Source organism: Homo sapiens, chromosome 18, assembly GCF_000001405.40.
Source record: "Homo sapiens chromosome 18, GRCh38.p14 Primary Assembly".
Classification (NCBI taxonomy): Eukaryota; Metazoa; Chordata; class Mammalia; order Primates; family Hominidae; genus Homo; species Homo sapiens.
The window spans coordinates 77,783,362-77,802,544 of NC_000018.10; the positions used below are offsets into that span (position 1 = coordinate 77,783,362).

The 19,183-nt window shown below is 38.5% G+C and overlaps 3 annotated features.

Annotated features, from left to right (window-relative positions):
- Nucleotides 882-2,081: an enhancer, noted in NCBI's record as "CDK7 strongly-dependent group 2 enhancer chr18:75496199-75497398 (GRCh37/hg19 assembly coordinates)". NCBI's record gives its function as "activates an origin of replication core promoter dependent on BRD2, BRD4, P300/CBP, MED14 and CDK7 cofactors, with strong dependence on CDK7, by STARR-seq in HCT116 cells {active_cell/tissue: HCT116}" and the evidence as "EXISTENCE:reporter gene assay evidence [ECO:0000049][PMID:35650434]".
- Nucleotides 882-3,190: a biological region, named in NCBI's record as "VISTA enhancer hs1020".
- Nucleotides 1,021-3,190: an enhancer, noted in NCBI's record as "VISTA enhancer hs1020". NCBI's record gives its function as "enhancer in: neural tube[4/9] | hindbrain (rhombencephalon)[8/9]" and the evidence as "EXISTENCE:transgenic organism evidence [ECO:0001131][PMID:17130149]".

Consider the following 19,183-nt stretch of genomic DNA (forward strand, 5'->3'; position numbering starts at 1 on the left):
CAAGAAAGGCCATCAAAGTCCATTTCATGGGTCTTTTGAGGTTCCAGATATTACATTTAAAACTTGACTAAATGGTCCTTTTGAATTACACTTCCCTGAGAATGCACAGGAGGTGACACTTTTTCAGGTACGACATCTACCACTATTCTTATATCACTGACTAAAAAATAAGAAGAGCTGGTAGCCATAACTACCGGGCACAAAAAGGGTAAAACATCGTTAGGGTCCCTTGGTAGATTCTTTGTTGGCAAATATTCTAGTAAATATGAGAGTTGTAAGACCCTCTACTGTATTTTGTATGTAAATTATATTTTTAGCTAATAACTTCTGTATAATCCTAAGAGTCAGAGTTTCACTTTCAACAGAAGTGGATACGTTTCACATTACAGGAGAAATTTCATAGCAGCGTCAAATTCATATTAGTTCAGTAAGAAGAAATTTGGCCATGGACAGTAAAAAGAAGAAAGAAAATATGTGTACAAAAAGCACATTTTAATGCTGAAAACTCAAGAAGGAGTCATGAATCAGACATCCAAACATTCTTCAGGTGAGTCTACAGGCCTTACCCTCCACCTGGTTCAATTCCTGAAATCTAAGCCAGCGAGAATCTAAATGGCTGACCATCCAGCGCAATTTCCCTTGCAAAAATTCTGAAAGACACAATAACACTGTTGAAGTACATTGAGATCCATCAGGGTCACAGTTTTCAGTGAATAACAGGAAATGTTAGAATTGCTATGCTTGTAACTATTACTAATGCTATTCCCACCTTCCAGTTTGTCTTTCCTATGAAATGTCTTGCCTTTTCCCCACTACCTTTCTGCCTCTTCTATTCATCTTTCTGTGAAGGACTTCCTGTGATACGATTTAACTGAACAGAGATTTTGATAAACGTCATGGAACTCCTTCCTTAACGTGGAATTTATGTAAAAAGGGTCTTCCTGAAATGGCTGACCCAATCTCCTACTTAATAGAATGCATCTTCTTTTTTTCTTCTTTATTTTTGGCAGGCACACGGAATGCAAAAGAAACGAGTTTTGCTGTATTTTCGTGTCGCATGAAGCATTCATTTCTATTCCTTACAGCTAGCAGCATTTTCTGTTCAATTAAAGGGAGAACAGCAGCTCACAAAGAAGGCAGCACTTCCTTCCAGAACTTGGAGAAGGAGCTTACAAATTGCTCCATCAAGGCCCGCAGCAGCCTTGACAGGTTCTTCTTTACTCAGAGTGGGGAGGAAGGTAAGGTTTGATATAATACTCTCTTTAAAATCCTGAGTGAATAAAGTAGTCTTGAGAGAAAGTTTCCAGATATAGATTACCTATAAAAAGAATAAAAGGGATGAGCATTGAAGATTTTTCGTCGCCGTAAACAAATAATTTGTGATCGCTGTACACTCAAACCACAAACAGAACCAAGAATTAGAAGTACCCCTAGCTGACCAGCATGTGCGTATATCATCGGTCTGGTGTAATGAAGATTGCCTGATAAAGATCGCAATATGACAGTTTTCCTTTTGCCTTGGCTGCTGAACAGCCAGAAACGGTTTTCTGCGGCCGGCCAGCTATTGATCCAGCTCTCTCTTGTCAGTGATGCAGTTAATGGGAATTCCACAGGCAAATAAAAGCTACATTTTGTCTTCATTTTCATCTGAAATATGAGCTGGTCCTTTGTACTCTAGACAGTCATTTATTACTCATTTTCCTTTATTGATGTTTATGAGCTGAGGCATAAAATGATTCTCAAATGTAGTTTAATTGAGGCATCGGTTGACACTGTAACCATGATTACCGATGCGCCATCAGCAGCGTGGAGCCCATGAATCAAGGTTTGCTTTTCATTGGTCTTGGAGGCAGCACGCGGGAGAGAGTATCCTTAGAAAGCAACTGGGCTGGAGCTAAAGAAATATGTCGATTTATCTTCATAGGTAGCGAGAGGGAAAGGAGTCTCCCCAGTCCTCATCCGGCAGCCACATAGAGGCCAAGTGTTCCCGGGCACCTGGCATCCAACGGCTCGCTTTCCTAGGATGGGAACGTTCTTCTGAAACAGAATCCTATTATTGGTTTTTAAAATATTTTCAGCCTAATGATTAACCTTAAAAATCACACGAGAAAGTGCTGCCAGACACAGCCAATACACAGCAAGATGGGGAGGCCCAGTCCTTCAATTCATTCGTAAAATGGTGAGAACAATCAATGCGGGGAGAAGTATTTTTTATATGCAGTTATTAACTCATAAGCTACAGTATATCTCATCTCATTTCGACAACAGCTGAGGTCTCCATCTCCCCCTGGAGACCCCTGCAGGTCCCATTATGAGAATCATAAATAATATGTGCTAATGAGATATGAATTGATTATGTTGGAAAAGCTGACATTTTCATCCATCATTCTAAATGATGTTTAACAATGGATTACCAGCCAGTAATTCCTCTGATATGAGATTAAATAAAATAGCCGGCTGTTTCAGCAGGCTAGCTCAAGGAGATGGCAATAAATCTGCTCAATTACTGTATTACCAATCCGTTTTTCACTGCTAAGGATATTATTATTTCATTTAGACTTGTTCATGCATCATAGATTATTTTATTTCAGGCAGTCAATGGGAGAAACCGCAGCGTTTTATTCACTGAGCCACGGAGCAGTGGCTTTGCCCGAGTACAGTAAATGTCTCTCCGTGGGCCCCAAACGCCCCGAGGAGAGGCCACCCAGCTGCCCCTGGGCTGAATGGGCAACGTGCAAGACACATTTTAGAAAGAAGCATTTTGCTTTTAACCTAATTTTCTTTACTTATCTGAAAAGTCTCAACCGAAGGATACTGCCTAAGAAACTGATCGATTGAAACAAGATTATTAGATCCTCTAAGATGATTTGGTCTTCATCTCAATCCTGTAGTAGATTGAGAATTAGATCACAGGGACTATCCTTTGGCCTGGAAAATTAGATTAGCAGCCACTGCAATACAAAGGGTGGCCTTTCTCCCCTGTGCCCAACAAACAAACAACACATACACTCTATTGATGAGAAAAGTGGATTGGCAGGAAGCATTTCCCTGGCCCTCCCAGCATCATTCACCATTTCTGACAACCCTAATGAAGTTTTGTGACTGCATTCAGTGATTGTCTATAAGAGTAAAATAAAAGAGGGATGAATTATCCTAAAACTAAGAGTTCATCAATTCATTCCATCATTCATGTAATCCCCCATTTATCAGTTGACTAAGGAAGACAAGGTCTGCACCTGCCGAGGGCCAGCCCTGCTTTATGCTGTGGGAGATGAGAGACCCACACCTGCCAAAGGCTCCGCCAACACTTCACCTGGGCAACTTCAGGTCCTTGCTACCTGCCCTGGCCCCAAGGCCTCACCTGTGCCGGCCTGAGAGGTGGAGCAGCCTCTGACCCCTTCCCATGCACACAGACAGCAGGATCAGCCTCTTACCTCCTGCTGTGGGGGTTCACAGTGACACAGGCATGACATGACACCTGAGACTCCAATGCACACACAGCCAGAAGTGTGAGAGAGTCAATGGTACAGGCAAAAGACCTTTGATGGGAGCTGGTGGTTAAATTCCTTTCTCTTCTTACTGCAGACAGACTGCCCTGAGGAGGCACTTTCATCAGCCTCACCAGGACCAGGTCCAGCGAGACTGAACACTCAGTAACCAGACCCAGCAGAGGCCAGCATGGGGGATGCACACCCATATTGAGTTCCTCCTCCCTTGCCTCACAACTCTTTCTTCTCACTCATGTGTCCCAGGATTGCACCCCTGAAACAAGAAGTAGCTCCGGAGGTTTTGGTCTGCCTCTGGTTTCTGCAAATCGCAGGCTAAAGCGATGTGTGAGCCTGGCCAGCAGACCTCCGAGGTGGGTTGTGGAGCTGGGCAATTCCATGGAGCCCCTGTTGCAGGCGGTGATGCCCTCTCTGAGGATGTGGCAGGACCATTTCTAAGTCAGCATAAAGTACAAGCAGGACACAAGGTGTCTGGATATGTGGTAGCAGGTGGTTCTTGCACGGGCTGAGTCACTGACAGCTGCAGGATAAGATTGAGGAATGAATTGACTGGTAATACGTTTGAATGTCTTGGCAGGTGGAAATGTTAGGCTCAGAGTAGTCCATTCCCACTCAGACATTCTGAGCAAGCAAGAGATATTGAAGGAGAATGGCAGCTCCGGCAAGGGCAGAGGACGATTCTGAACACGGGGGCCAGGACCTTCCCGCAGGCACAGCAAAGGGACTGCAGAGGGAGGGAGCGTGCAGCCTTTTTAGCTCCCTACTCAAAGGACAACCCTGGGTTCTTGACACCTGAGATGCGGCAGGTGAAGAATCTCCAATGCACAAATTCTTCTAAAGCTCTTGAGTTAGAAGAAAAAAGCTCCCCTAAGATCCTGGCAACTTGTTTTGTTCCAGTAAGTGCATCAGTGACTGGCAGGATTCTGTCTCGATTTTGTGTAGAAGAGCAATGTTACACTGTATATAAAATACTAAAAATGGGAAATGTTTACTGGCATCTCTGATCAATTAGTTGTTGCTCAAAATATTTACACTATATATTTTAATTTTCGTTTTACCTATGAGGAAAATGAGGATCAGAAAAAAAATCCGGCTGCAAACTATTAAATTAACACATAGCAGAGCTGAAATTTACACCGCTTTTATTTTCTTCTTCCCTTTGTAAATTATTTAATATTATTTCAAGAAATGGAATTACACTTTCTACTTCCCAGTACAGTCTTACTCAGTTGTTTTTATGTAAGGACTACTAAAAAACAAAATATTTCACAAGTAGTTGTATTTATGTCTACTGGTTGAAAAAACGTGAAAATTATGAAGAACTACAGCAAAACTTAATATTTTTACAAATATATATATTATTAATCACAAAATTTTCACTATGTATGTGATATATCATAATAAATATGTATGGAAAGTGTATATTTAGGTAGAAACAAACACATTCTCACTTAGATTTATAAACCTGCTTGCAAAATTCTTTATTGCCAACAGGTTTTCAACAACCAATTTGGAACATTAGTTCTACCAAGGTATCCCTGTTGTACTTTTTGCCTCTGATACCCTGTAATGCTCCCAGGAATGAAGGTGCTCCCAGTGGGCAGGAGGGGAGAGGTCTTGGAGGGGTGTTCACTCCCTGGGCTATGGCAGGCATTGCACACAGACATTAGTGTATATATGGATAGTGGGGCTTTGATGGCATGGAAGTCTGTGTTGATTTATTAGTGGCCTCAAATCTTTATTCCTCTCTTTATTTACACCTTATGTGATATGATTTTGTGTTTTATTTCATGAAAAAGTCCAAGTCTACTTCCACTCTGTGAAATCTGGGCTGGCCTTGAAGGTTATTTGGCTAAATCTAGAAACACATGAGAATACATGGTATCAAATCTTCAGATACTGTCTTGGTGAATTTTGTGTCAACTTGGCTAGATCCTAGTGCTCCACCTTTGTTCAAACACCTTTCTAGATGTTGCTGTTAAGGTATTTGTTAGATGTGATTAACATTTAAAATCAGTGGACTTCGAGTAAAATGGATCATGCTCCATAATGTGGGTGGGCCTCGTTCAGTCAGTTGAAGGCATTAAGAAAGAATCCGACCTGCCCGGAGAGGAGGGAATTCCGCTTCCCACAGCCTTTGGACTCAAGCCTGCAGCATCAAACCTTTCCAGAATGTCCAACCTGCCAGTCTGCCTTGTAAATTTCCTACTTGCCAACCCTATGATCATGTGAGCCAGTTGCTTAAAAGTCTCTCTCTCACATCCCACTGGGCCCATTTTTATAAACAACTCTAGCTCCTACAGAACAAAATAACAAGATACAAAATGCAATTCATGCGAAAATAATATTATCTGTGTGTCTGTGCTTCAGGGTCTGTCTGTAAACCTGGAAAGCTGTTGGGATCCCCTTGCTCAGGCTTCAGGGGGTCCTGGGGGTCTCTGCCTTGCCCTCCTTGTGCCTCTGCTCTCACCTGAGCATGACTGGCCTGGCCTGCTGGAGGGTAGGTGGCCCAGCCACCCTATCACCCACACACAGTCAGCTCACCTGTGAGTGTGTGATATGGATGAGAACCCAGCGGCACCCAGGGGAATACTCAGCCAAGTGCAGCCCCCACCAACCCAGTCCACAGCAGAAAATGAGTTCAGTGGGGTCCCATCCTCGTGGAGCTACATTTACATGGAAAACGTCAGTCAGTTGACAACATAATTTCTTTTTTTTTTAACTAAGGTTTTTATTTAATGCAAGATATATAGTGAAGTGATCTTCTTTATATATATGTATATGTATATATATATATATATACATATACATATATATATAATTATACTTTAAGTTCCAGGGTACATGTGCACAATGTGCAGGTTTGTTACATATGTATACATGTGCCATGTAAACCATCATTCTCAGCAAACTATCGCAAGGACAAAAAACCAAAAACCTCATGTTCTCACTCATAGGTGGGAATTAAACAATGAGAACACTTGGACACAGGAAGACAACATAATTTCTTTGTGATAGAAGCTTTGAAGGATACATCTGAGAAAGGGAGTGATTAAAATGGAACAGGGAAGGCCTCTCTAACAGGTGGTGCATTTGGGATAAAACAGATAAGAAAAAGACAACCCTTTGAGAGGAGGAACTGCTTCTAGTCATTAGAAAATATTCTTCGAAGGCCCCCCAGAGAGAGCTCGGTTTGCGCAGCTGTGGGAGCAGAAGGCTGCAGGCAGAGTTGCATCAACCACAAACCATGACTTTTTGCAAAGTCATGGAATTGGGATGCAACAAAAATTCTTACTATATGTGAAAAGAATATTATGTGCACAAATAAGTTTTGTGAATACTGGTTGAGACAATGCTAAATAGTTTTTGTTTTTTAACTGTAGGCTTTTCAGAGCCCAGTGAATACTATGAATGACCAAGGATTAAGGGGTCTTATGAGACCAGGGATCTACCTATTTTATAAATGAAACATGTTTCCTGGAGGTCCTAGAATTTGGAAAGTGATGAACTAGGGCTCTTTAAGTGTTTTTCTGCTTGAGCTGGAGTAGAAGAAGGAAGAAGCAAGTCTGAGTTTCGGGACAGGCAGATGTTGGGCAGAGAAAGACACACAAAGCTAGAGGAAAGTACCTGGCCTTTCCAGGTTGTTACGCGCTCTTCTTTGACTTGTGTATGTTAAGAGGACCATTGACAAACTTGACCAGGTGCAGAGGAAAGCCTGAGAGGTCATAGGCTTAAGGTTGATATGCTGTCAATGGGACCAATGTAGGTGCTCAGAGGGAGAAAGGTATCAGGAAATGGCACCAATATTTCAGATAAGTAGGACACAAAGGACCCTACTGAAAAACAAAAACATGTTACAGCTTCATACTGATCTTTGCAAATAGAAGGAAAAGAGATGTAAGTTTAAAAAAGTAATAATAAGATGAGGCTGAGCATGGTGGCTCACACCTGTAATCCCAGTACTTTGGGAGGCCGAGGCAGGTAGATCACCTGAGGTCAGGAGTTTGAGACCAGCCTGGCCAACATGGTGAAACCTCGTCTCTACTAAAAATACAAAAATTAGCTGGGTGTGGTGGCGGGCACCTGTAATCCCAGCTACTAGGGAGGCTGAGGAGGGAGAATCACTTGAACCCAGGAGGTGGAGGTTGTGGTGAGCAAAGATTGCGCCACTGCACTCCAGCCTGGGTGACAGAGTGAGACTCTATCTCAAAAAAAAAAAAAAAAAAAAAAAAAAAAAGAAATTTCCTTTGAGATGTCTGCATTCTGTATCTTCCTTATGTTGGAGAAGTTCTTTTCTTGTGCAAACTCAGACCTGACCAGCTGCAAGTTCCCTACCCACCCAGAGATGCGTTATGTGCTTCCTTTCATGGTCATCTTTGGAATTTTCTCATCTTACTATGCAGTGTAATTCACTCCTCTTGTGGCATAACAGAAATAAGCGATACATCCATTCAATGTCAAAATGTTCTCTTCAAATACTTATGATTCTCCCTGAATCCATCAAAGGGATTTAAATACTTTTGATCAAAAAGATTTGCATAATCTTCTAAAAGGAATATTATTATAATCAACCATGAGGGGGAGGACTTCATCCACATTCAATGGCCTCACTATCCTCTTTTTCCAAGGCACACTGTCAAACGTTAGAGTTCACCACAAGTAACCCTGTGACAAAACACAGAGGCATACCGCAGAGTGAGGGTGTCATACCGCAGGATGAGGGTGCCATTCTGCCTCCTTGTTCATTGAAACACAGCTAGAAGCTTTTTGTACCTGTGATTGTGGCTTCCCCCAAAACGATGTCATTTTGTTATCCTCTTCCATGTTGTAGACATTATCCAGCGGTGTCTCGCTCATCAATACCAGAATGTTGGGAGAACAAAGAAACACCTCCTCTCCGATAAATAAAGCTTCGGAGCAGGGAGCAAACTAATGTTGTTTGCCTCTATGCACCTCCCAACATGCAGCAAAAATATTTTGTATTATTGGTAAAAATATAAGAATTAATGAAAATGAGATGAATAATTTTTACCTAAATAATCCAAATGCAGTCACGTAATGTTGGTAGTTGTAAAGAAAAAAGAAAAAAGCCTGAAGGTTATCCCATAGCTGCCTTGAGATACAGGAAATTTCTTATTCTGTAAAGTTTGTATTATAGTGGGTTAAAAAGCAGGTAAACAGGGCACTCGATTTATTTATATTGGGCTTTAGGCTCAAATAAGCATTACTTACCTTCAGACAGTATGAAATTCTGCTGTGCATGGAATGGGATAAAATAGCTTTAATTTAAATTGAGTGTGTATGGAGCACCTTAAGTATCAACAATTTATGATATGTCATTATCATTATACACATTTTATTAAGATAAGCAGAAATGCCAATAAATATATCCTTTTACCCCCTGAAAAGTCAGCCTAAGAGACAAATTTACAAACAAAATGCATAGAAAGTTGCTTGTTCTAGGGGAAAGGGAAAGATCCTTTGTCCTACAGGAAAATCTTGCACTCAACGCCTAGGGCATTTCTTGAGGTCTGTACATAGAGACTGTCATAGTTTCTAACCTTTTGCTCATCAGGAAGAACTCTTCTCATCTTGGGACCTCTTCTCCCTTCTTGAGTCTAACTTAATAGTGCATAATTGAGACATGATTAATAATAGAACTATTCTAGATTGAAGACAGGCTGTTAGTTCTGGTAAGTGGATTCACTATGACAGTGAAGTAAAGAGAGGAAAGTTTTGTAGCTTTCGTTTAGTGAAATGAATACAGAAAGGAGATTTTACCAAACTTGGGTTTCTGAATCCAAAGCATCAAATGAGTTTCTGTAATTGTAGAGAGCTAAGTAGAAGTAGTAGTTAATAGAGTGGTTAGTCTCACAATGTTAATAAATGTGATTGTTATTTTGGTGGTAGTAAATACTTTGTGTTAACCATACACTAGGAGCCACTATCCTAATCAGCTACAAGGCAATCTAATATGCAGCAATGAACTCAATGATAGATTACATGAGTCAATGAAGAAAGAACCATAATTTTCATACAGCCTTTCTCAGAGATATCTGTGCTAAATAATCAACAAATCATCACTTATGGAAAAAATGGATTTTGGCTTTTTTTAAATTTTACTTTAAGTTCTGTATGGATACATGTGCAGAATATGCAGGTTTGTTACAAAGGTACACATGTGCCATGGTGGTTTGCTGCACCTATCAACCCATCACCTAGGTTTTAAACTCCACATGCATTAGGTATTTGTCCTGATGCTCTCCTTTCCCTTGCCCCCCAGCCTGAGACAGGCCCCAGTGTGTGATGTTCCCCTTCCTGTGTGCATTTGTTCTCATTGTTCAACTCCCACTTATGAGTGAGAACATGCGGCATTTGGTTTTCTGTTCCTGTGTTAGTTTGCTGAGAATGATGGTTTCCAGCTTTATCCATGTCCCTGCAAAGGACATGAACTCATCCTTTCTTACAGCTGCATAGTATTCCATGGTGTATATGTGCCCCTTATTTTTTATCCAGTTTATCATTGTTGGGCATTTGAGTTGGTTCCAAGTCTTTGCTATTGTAAATAGTGCTGCAATAAACATATATGTTCATGTGTTTTTATAGAATGATTTATAATCCTTTGGGTATATACCCAGTAATGGGACACATGTCTACAAATTATATCTGGGAAGGTCTGGACAAACACTAGCTCCATGCTCAAAGATTACCACACATACAAATATAAAAATGGACACCATAGACCCAAATACATCATTTTACATTGTCACAGCATTTGAGAGGTTTAATCTTTCAAACGATGGAATAATACAGTGATATTTATAATCAAATTAATGGATGATATTATTGAGTCCTTTTAATTTTGCACTATGAGGTAGTGATATGGTTTGGCTGTGTCCCCACCCAAATCTCATCTTGAATTGTAACTCCCACAATTCCCATGTGTTGCGGGAGGAACCCAGTGGGAGGTAATTGAATCATGGGGGCAGGCCTTTCCCATGCTGATCTCACAATAGTGAATAAGTCTCACAAGATCTGATAGTTTTAAAAATGGGAGTTTCCCTGCACAAGCTCTCCTCTCTTTGTCTGCTGTCATCCATGTAAAACGTGACTGGCTCCTCTTGCTTTTCACCACCATTGTGAGACCTCCCCAGCCACATGGAACTGTAAGTCCAAGAAAGCTCTTTCTTTTGTAAGTTGCCCAGTCTCAGGTATATCTTTATCAGCAGCGTGAAAATGGACTAATACAGGTATTTATTGCTATTACCCATATTTTGAAGATTAAAATTACCAAGACTAAGCAAACACTAGTCATTTTTCAAAGTCACACCTTTACTAGGTGTTGGAGATAAGGTCGAAACTCAGGTCTCTCTGATTCAAAAGTCTACTGCTGAACAACTGCTGACTGTAAATTGTTAGATCCAGGGAATCTCACTGTTTCCACTCAGTCTTATTCTCAGACTTTATCTTAATTCACCTCAAAATCAAATCGTTCAAATCAAAGCAAACCACAGAGGGTTCATTTTAAATCTTTTCAAATTGATTGTGGAAATCAATGCAGCCAAAGCGATTAAACACTTACTGTGTGCCAGGTACCCTGCTAGGTGCTGGAGGAAAAGAGATAAGAGGCAAAGTGCCTAGCTTGGAAAAAATCAGCATAGAGGAAGAGCCATACTTGTGAAGAAGAAACCATCTCACCTGAGCAGGGACAGTCCCAACATGTTTCCAAGGGAGAAGAAGGATGCCAGAGTGTTAGTCTCAGCCCAACCTGGTGCGGGTGGCGATGGCTTTTCTGCCTCACATCAGTGGGGGTCAGTAAGGCGCAGAGGGGAGAGAGTTGAGGAGGAATGCTACAGACAAAAGGGGAATTATTTGTAAAGGGAAATTGTAGTGTATCCCAGAAATATCAATGTTCACCTATAAAGGAAACATATGTACGTGCTGGGGTTAGCATCATTTCTTTGCACTGTTGAGGTGATCCTGGGAAGCAGGTAGATCATAAATATTAAATATCTTCTCTTGATCCCCTGGTCCATTTCAAGTTACTATTGTATTGGATATGAGGTTTAAATCAAAGTTCATGTTTTTGCCTACAGATATCCAGTTGCCCCAATACAACTTATTTAAAAGCTATTTTTCCTCCTTTGAATTGCTTTTTTATATTTGCCAAAAATCTGTTGGGCATATTTGCATGGGTCTATTTCTGGGTTCTCTATTCTGTTTCCTTGATCTGTATGTTCATCCTTTGGCCAGTCTTGATTAATGCAGCTAGATAGTACACCTTAGCTAGATAGTACACCTTACCATCAGAAGACTGACGCCTCTCACTTCATTCTGCCTTTGCAAAATGCTTTGGACTATTCTAGGGCCTTTTTCTTTCTATATAAATGTTTAAATAAACTTGCATATATCTAAAAGTTACATTGCTTGGATTTTAATAGGAGTTGCATTACACTTATAGATTAATTTGGGGAGAATTGACATCTCTACAATGTGGAAACTGCCAATCTAGGAACACAGTATTTCTTGCCATTTATTAAAGTCTTCTTTTATTAATTTTTTTATTAGCATTATTTTTGTAATTTTTAGGGCACAGATCCTGTCCATGGTTTTTATACTTAAGTACTTAATGTTCTTTGGAGTGCTTTTAAATAGAATCATACTTTCAATTTTGGTGTCCACATGTTTGTCATTAGTACATAGAAATGCAATCAGTACTTTTGTGTTGAACTTGTATCTTCTAACCGTACCCAACTCACTCTTAGTTCTAGGAGGTTGGTTGTAAATTTCTTGAAATTTTTGTACATAGACAACTATGTCTTATGCAAACTAAGTTGTATTTCTTTCTCTCCAATCTGTAGGCCATTTATTTATCTAGCCATATCATGCTGACTAAAGTTTCCAGTACTCTGTTGAGTAGCAGTGGTGAGAATTTATGTCATTGGCCTGTTCCTGATTTTAGAAGGAAAGCATTTGGTCTTCCACCTGTAAGTATGATGTTCGCTGTAGGTTTTCTGTAGATCTTCTCTATCAGGCTGCAGAAGTTCCCTTCTATTTCCAGTGTGCTGAATTTTGTTTTTAATCATGAATAAGTATTGAATTTTGTCAAATACTTTCTTTTTCTGTGTCATTTGATATAGCTATACTATTTTTTCTTCTTTAGGTTTCTGATAGATTATGTTGATTTTCAAGTCTTGAACTAGCCTTGAATGCTAGGAAGAGTCCCATTTTTATATGATGAATTATACCATACTTTGTGTACATGGCTGGATTTAATCTGCTAATATTTTATTGAGGAGTTTTGTGTCTAGGTTCATGAGACACACTTGTCTATGTTTTTGTTTTGCATTTCCTATCTATCTATCTATCATCTATCTATCTATCTATCTATCTATCTATCTATCTATCTATCTATCTATCATCTATCATCTATCTATATTTGGATATTAATTCACCTTTATATGTTTAGTAAAAATCTCTGGTGAAACCATATAGACATGAATACTTCTTTTCAGGAGGTCTTTAGTTACAAATCAATTTACTTCATGGTTACAGAACTATTTCTGTATTTGTTTCTCTTTGAGTGAGTTTTGATAGTTTCTGGTTTGTAAAGTATTGGTCATTTTCTCCTAAGTTTTTGAATTTTAGAGGATAAAGTTAATACAAATCACTTATCATTCTTTTAATGGCTACAAAATTGTGGTATTCTTTGTTCCATTCCTGATATTGGTAATTTGTGTCTTTTCTCTCTTTGTCAGTGTTGCCAGAGCTTAATTGATTGCATTGATTGTTTTCCCAAAGAAACCCTTTTTGTTTCAGTGATGTTCTCTGTTCAATTTCATTAATTTCTGCTCTTCATTAATACCTTCCTTCTCCATGTTTGGATTCATTTTGTTCTTCTTTTTGCAATTTTTTGAGAAGGAACTTAGATTGCTCATGTAAAAGCTTTTCCTTTTTCTAACGTCAGCATTTAGTACTATAGGTTCCTTTCTCAGCACTGTTACAGCTGCATTACATGCACTTGATACGTAGAGGTTTTGTTTTCATAACTCTGCAAAAATAGTTTGATGTATTTTTTAACTTCTTTGAGCTTCCCTCTTTGGCCCATGGATTATTTAGAAGTGTGTTGTTTAGTTTCTTTGCATTTGAAGATGTTTCTGTTGACTTTTAGTTATTCATCAGCAGTTTGCTTCCACAGTTGATAGAGGACTATTCTGGATGATTTCAATTCTTTAAATTCGTTAAGATTTGTTTTATGTTTGAGGATATGGTCTATCCTGGGAAATGTTCCATGGGTGGTTAAAAAATGTATATTCTCATTTTGTTGGTAGAATTTTCTGTAAATGTCAAATAGTTCCTTGTGATGGATGGCATTGTTTTTCCATATCTTGCTGATTTTGGTCAAGTACTATATTTCTATCAATTAATGAAAGTAGGATGTTGAGGCCGGGCGCGGTGGCTCACGCCTGTAATCCCAGCACTTTGGGAGGCCGAGGCGGGTGGATCACGAGGTCAGGAGATCGAGACCACGGTGAAACCCCGTCTCTACTAAAAATACAAAAAATTACCCGGGCGCGGTGGCGGGCGCCTGTAGTCCCAGCTACTCGGGAGGCTGAGGCAGGAGAATGGCGTGAACCCGGAAGGCGGAGCTTGCAGTGAGCGGAGATCGCGCCACAGCACTCCCGCCTGGGCGACAGAACGAGACTCCGTCTCAAAAAAAAAAAAAAAAAAAAAAAAAAGCAGGATGTTGAAGCTCCCAACTATAAAAGTGGATTTATTTCTCTTTCATTTCTATTTGTTGTTTTCTTCATGTATATGGAAGCTCTGTTTTTTGGTGCATACAAATTTAGGATTGCCATGTTCCTTTTATCACTATGTAACAGCTGCCTTTCTTTGATACTACTAATTTTCTTTGCTCTAATGTCTATTTTTATCGGATATTAATATAATCACACCTTTTAATTAAAGTTTTTTATGATGTGACTTTTTGCATTATTTTACATGTTTAAAGTGAGTTCCTATAGATAGCATATCATTGTTTCATGTTTTTTTTCTTCCCAACCAATCTGCCTTTTGAGGTGTATTTAGGTCATTTACACTTAAAGTAACTGTTGCAAAGTAACAAAGTAATTGTCAAGGCATCAATTTGCCATTTTAGTATTTGTTTTCTGTGGGTACTCTCAGTTTCCTGTTCCTCTGTTACTTTTTCTCTCTTTTATTTACTGTGGGATACATGAACATTTTCTTTAGAATTCTGTGTTTTTCTTTTCTTTTTTTTTTATTTTTTGAGAGGGAATCTTGCTCTGTCACCCAGGCTGGAGTGCAACCTCTGCCTCCTAGGTTCAACCTATTCTTCTGTGTCAGCCTCCTGAGTAGCTGGGATTACAGGCATGTGCCATCCTGCCCAGCTAATTTTTTTGTATTTTTACTAGAGACATGGTTTAACCATGTTGGCCAGGCTGGACTTGAACTCCTGACCTCAAGTGATCTGTCTGCCTCGGCCTCCCAAAGTGCTGGGATTACAGGCGTGCACCACCACACCTGACCTAGAATTCTGTTTTGATTCATTTATAATGTGCCTGACTATATTGCCATAAATAGTTTTATTTGTTGTTGCTCTAGATATTACAATATACACGTATCTTATCTCAGCCTATTAGTATCAATGTTTTACCTTTTCAACTGAAGTACTGAAACCTTACTTCTAATTCAATCCCTTACCTGCCTACTTTTTAAACTTAACTTTCTTAAAAGTTTCCTCTGTGCACAATGAGCACCATAGCTAATGGTGTTATATATTTGTGCTTCAACAGTGAAATATGATTAAGAAATTCATGAAGTGAAGCATTGTTTATTATGTTAACTCCCATTTTTCTACATTCTATTGTCCTTTTTATTCCTTTATGAAATTTATGGCCTTCGTCTGTTATTATTGACTTTCTATATATTTGTTTGCCTTTAGCTATTAAGTGTAAAGTTTTCTAGCGACAGGTTAGCTTAATTTGTCTTCAACTGGCAATATTTTACCTTTTCCTTCATTCCTGAAGGATAGTTTTATTAGCTATAAAATTCTGTTCTTGGCCGGGCACAGTGACTTATTCCTGAAATCTCAGCACTCTGGGGGCCCAAGGTGGGCAGATCACCTGAGACTGGGAGTTCAAGACCAGTCTGTCTAACATGGCGAAACCCCGTTTCTACTAAAAACACACACACACAAATCAGCTGGGCATGGTTGCATGCACCTGTAATCCCAGCTACTTGGGAGGCTGAGGCAGGAGAATCACTTGAACCTGGGAGGCGGAGGTTTCAGTGAGCCGAGATTGCTCCGTTGCACTCCAGCTTGGGAAACAAGAGTAAAACTTCATCTCAAAAAAAAAAATTATTTTCTTTCAGTACCTGTAAAATGTTGTGATGCTTCTGGCTTCCATGAGTTTCTGATGAGAAACTCATGTTTATTAAGATGGCCTTCCTTTACAAATAATGTCATTTCTCTATGGTTATTTTTTAAAGATTTTTTTTTTTTTTTAGATTTTTAGAACTTTAATTATGCATTTTGTTTGGGATTTCTTTGGATTCATACTGTTTGAAATTTGTTAAGTTTCTTGTATCTGTAGAGTTATGTTTTTTGTCAAATTGGAGAAGTTTTCAGCCATTACATATTATTATATAGAATTTACCAAAATTATATAATTATTTCTTCAAATACACCTGCAGTTTTCCAATTTCTTCTCTTCTGGAATTTTGATGATACAAGTACTAGACCCTCTGCTATTGTCCCAGAAGCCCTTGACACTCTGTTCTTTCTCTTTTTTCAGGTTAATTTTTCTCCATTGTGCAAACTCTCATAATCTGTCTTCATGTTCACTGATTTTATCCTTTGCCATATCCACTGTACTTTTTAGATAATCTAACGAATTTTTTATTTTGATTTTTATATTTTTCAGTTCTATAATTTCCATTCAGGTCTTTTTAAAAATGTACAAAATGGTATGTATTTGTAGAGATTTTCTATCATTTAATTTGTTTTGAGAAAATTTATTATAATATATTTTAAAATCCTTCTTACAACAATTCCTCAATATCAATTACAATATCTCAATGTTGGAGGAAGAGAGTCGGTTGATTTTCTTTTCTCATTCAGGTTATATTTTTTCTGTTTACTTGTAACAAGAGTGATTTTTCAAAATCCTTAATACTTTAGATACTATCTCAGGAAACCCTTGGTTCTATTTAAATCTTCTATTTTTGCATGTACCCTATTTATGTATAGGATATGGTCCTAGCTTACTTTTGTAACACATAATTTCAATGACAATTTAATTATATTTTGAGAGCCTTTTAAATGTGAATCACAGAAACTCCCTGTTCTGCCTTCCTCTGGTCTTAAGGTCTTCAGTTGGTCTATTTTCCCACCACCTTTTAGGGGCCTTTTGTGGTTTTCTATCAAGCTATTTATTCCAAGAGTATTTAGTCATATTTAGAGGGAGGTGCAGGGAAAAGTGAGTCTGTGCCGTCAAAACTTAGGCTTTCTACTTTTAAGTCTAGTATGCTTCTCCTTCCTCTTGGAGATATTTTTGTATCAGAGGTCAACCAGCATTTATTACCTTATGAATGGTCCTCAAGTTTAAGAAGAAAGACAATAAGTTCAAAATGCTTGTATTCTCCATTCCTCCACTGTAGAGTCAAAGGATGGTGAGCCTGAAGCAAGGACACAAGCTCAGGTCTGCCCTGAAATCCACATTCAAGGTGACTGGAAATAAGAAACTAAAACTCAACACATAACCCCAAAGGAGAGATATAAATGTTTGGGGGAGCCAAGTGTTCCACAGAAACCCATCGTGTTTCACTTTTACATAATCAATGCTATTCTCCTTGGTAGAAAGGTTTGTAATTTTACCACATCATGAGAGTTTAAATATCTGCTTTTTAGCATTCTAAAGGCAACAGATTAAATCTAAAGGCAACAGATTAATCATATGAGGTAATAAACTGAAACCACTATGAAATAGTCTCAGCTGGATGCTAAAAGTCAACATGTACAAGTAAATAAAACTATATCAGTGGCAGAATTCTTGGTTATTAAAATGCAGCCAATACTTGTGCCATGAGTCTAACTGGCAATGATGCCCATAAACAACATTTAGATGGCAAGATCATTGAACATTTATTAAAGTATTATGACTACCCCAACAACTACTGTTTCATGTTCATGAGAAAGTTTTTCACCGAAAATTAAGTTTAATCACACCAGTTTAACTTTACTTTGATTATCATACAGCTTACCCCAAGATCTGTGGACTTGTGAGCACTTGATTTATGGCGGATAAATCATGCCCACTGCCCCACGGTCAAAGCTTCTTCATTCTCTTTTCCCAAGGTCAAGTGACACACGACAAAAAGGGTTAAGGGTCCCTCTGATGGCCTTCTTGTCTGGAGGAATAGTCAGTTTTAGCCCGGAATCTATCAGAACTCATTCAAATACAGTGATTTTTTTTTTTTTAACAAAAGTAATTCCTGAGGTTATGAAGGAACACAGACATCTGGACCCCAGTCACCTCAGAGAGAGACAACAAGAGGAAAAAGAAAACTCAAGGTCACAAACCCTCAAGTGGCTTTGATTAGAAGTTAAGATGGACTTCAAAAATACTGGTTGTTCATGCTTAAGAATATGGAAAACTTCATGAATATTACATGCTGTTAATTAAAAGTATAAACAAGACTAGGTGACTTATACTAGATCTGCATATAAATGAATAAATTTAATTTTAATATTATAATACTACCGTAAGACGTATTACATATTCACATGGCTCATGATTTCCTGTGCTATTCCAGGTATATGAATATTCAGCTAGAAGACAACAAGAAAAAAAATAAACTTAAATTACATGTAAATAAAAATACAGAGCAGAAATTAAGTGATAAACATGTGGATCAAAGTTCCTCTAAGAATTATTTCTTCCAAGTATTTTTTGAACTGAAGAGGAGCACTACTTAATTTTTATTGAAATTGTATACATTTATTGCATACAGCATGAGGTTTTGATATACACAGACACAGTGAACAAATTACTGCAGTCAAGCTAATTGACATATCCATTTCTTCTCATATCACTTCATAGTTTCCACTCTTTTTTATTCTGAGAACACTTAAGATCTATTCTTTTAGCAGATTTCAAGTACATAATATGTGTGGGCCATCTAATATTTGTGAAAATTTCTATATTCTCAAATTTGTCAAACCAATATTCACCTTTTATCTTAAAATCTGAAGATAATTTTTTACACCCAATTTAAGCTGGCTTTAAAATTGTGTAAATAATGTCCTTTTTCATTTAATGAACATCAATGTTCCAGATTTTATACTTTTTATTTTGAAGCTGTAGCTTTGGGATAACCAAGGTTTTTAAAAACTTGAACTTCACACAGTGCAATGTTCCTTCTTCAAAACTCTGAAGAGTAGCACATCTAAAAAACAGAAAAAAATCTCAAAAGTTTCCTTGCACTTGGTAAGTCAGTATTCATCCAGTGACCCTAGATAATTGAAGAGGTGCTGCCACTGAATTGCTCAGGCACTCCAGCCTAATTGGGACTCTGTTTATGTTCTCTGTCTATTAATTAATGTGAGTGAAATTAGACAAGTGAAGTGTACCAGCTGTAAGATTATGCAAGAAAAC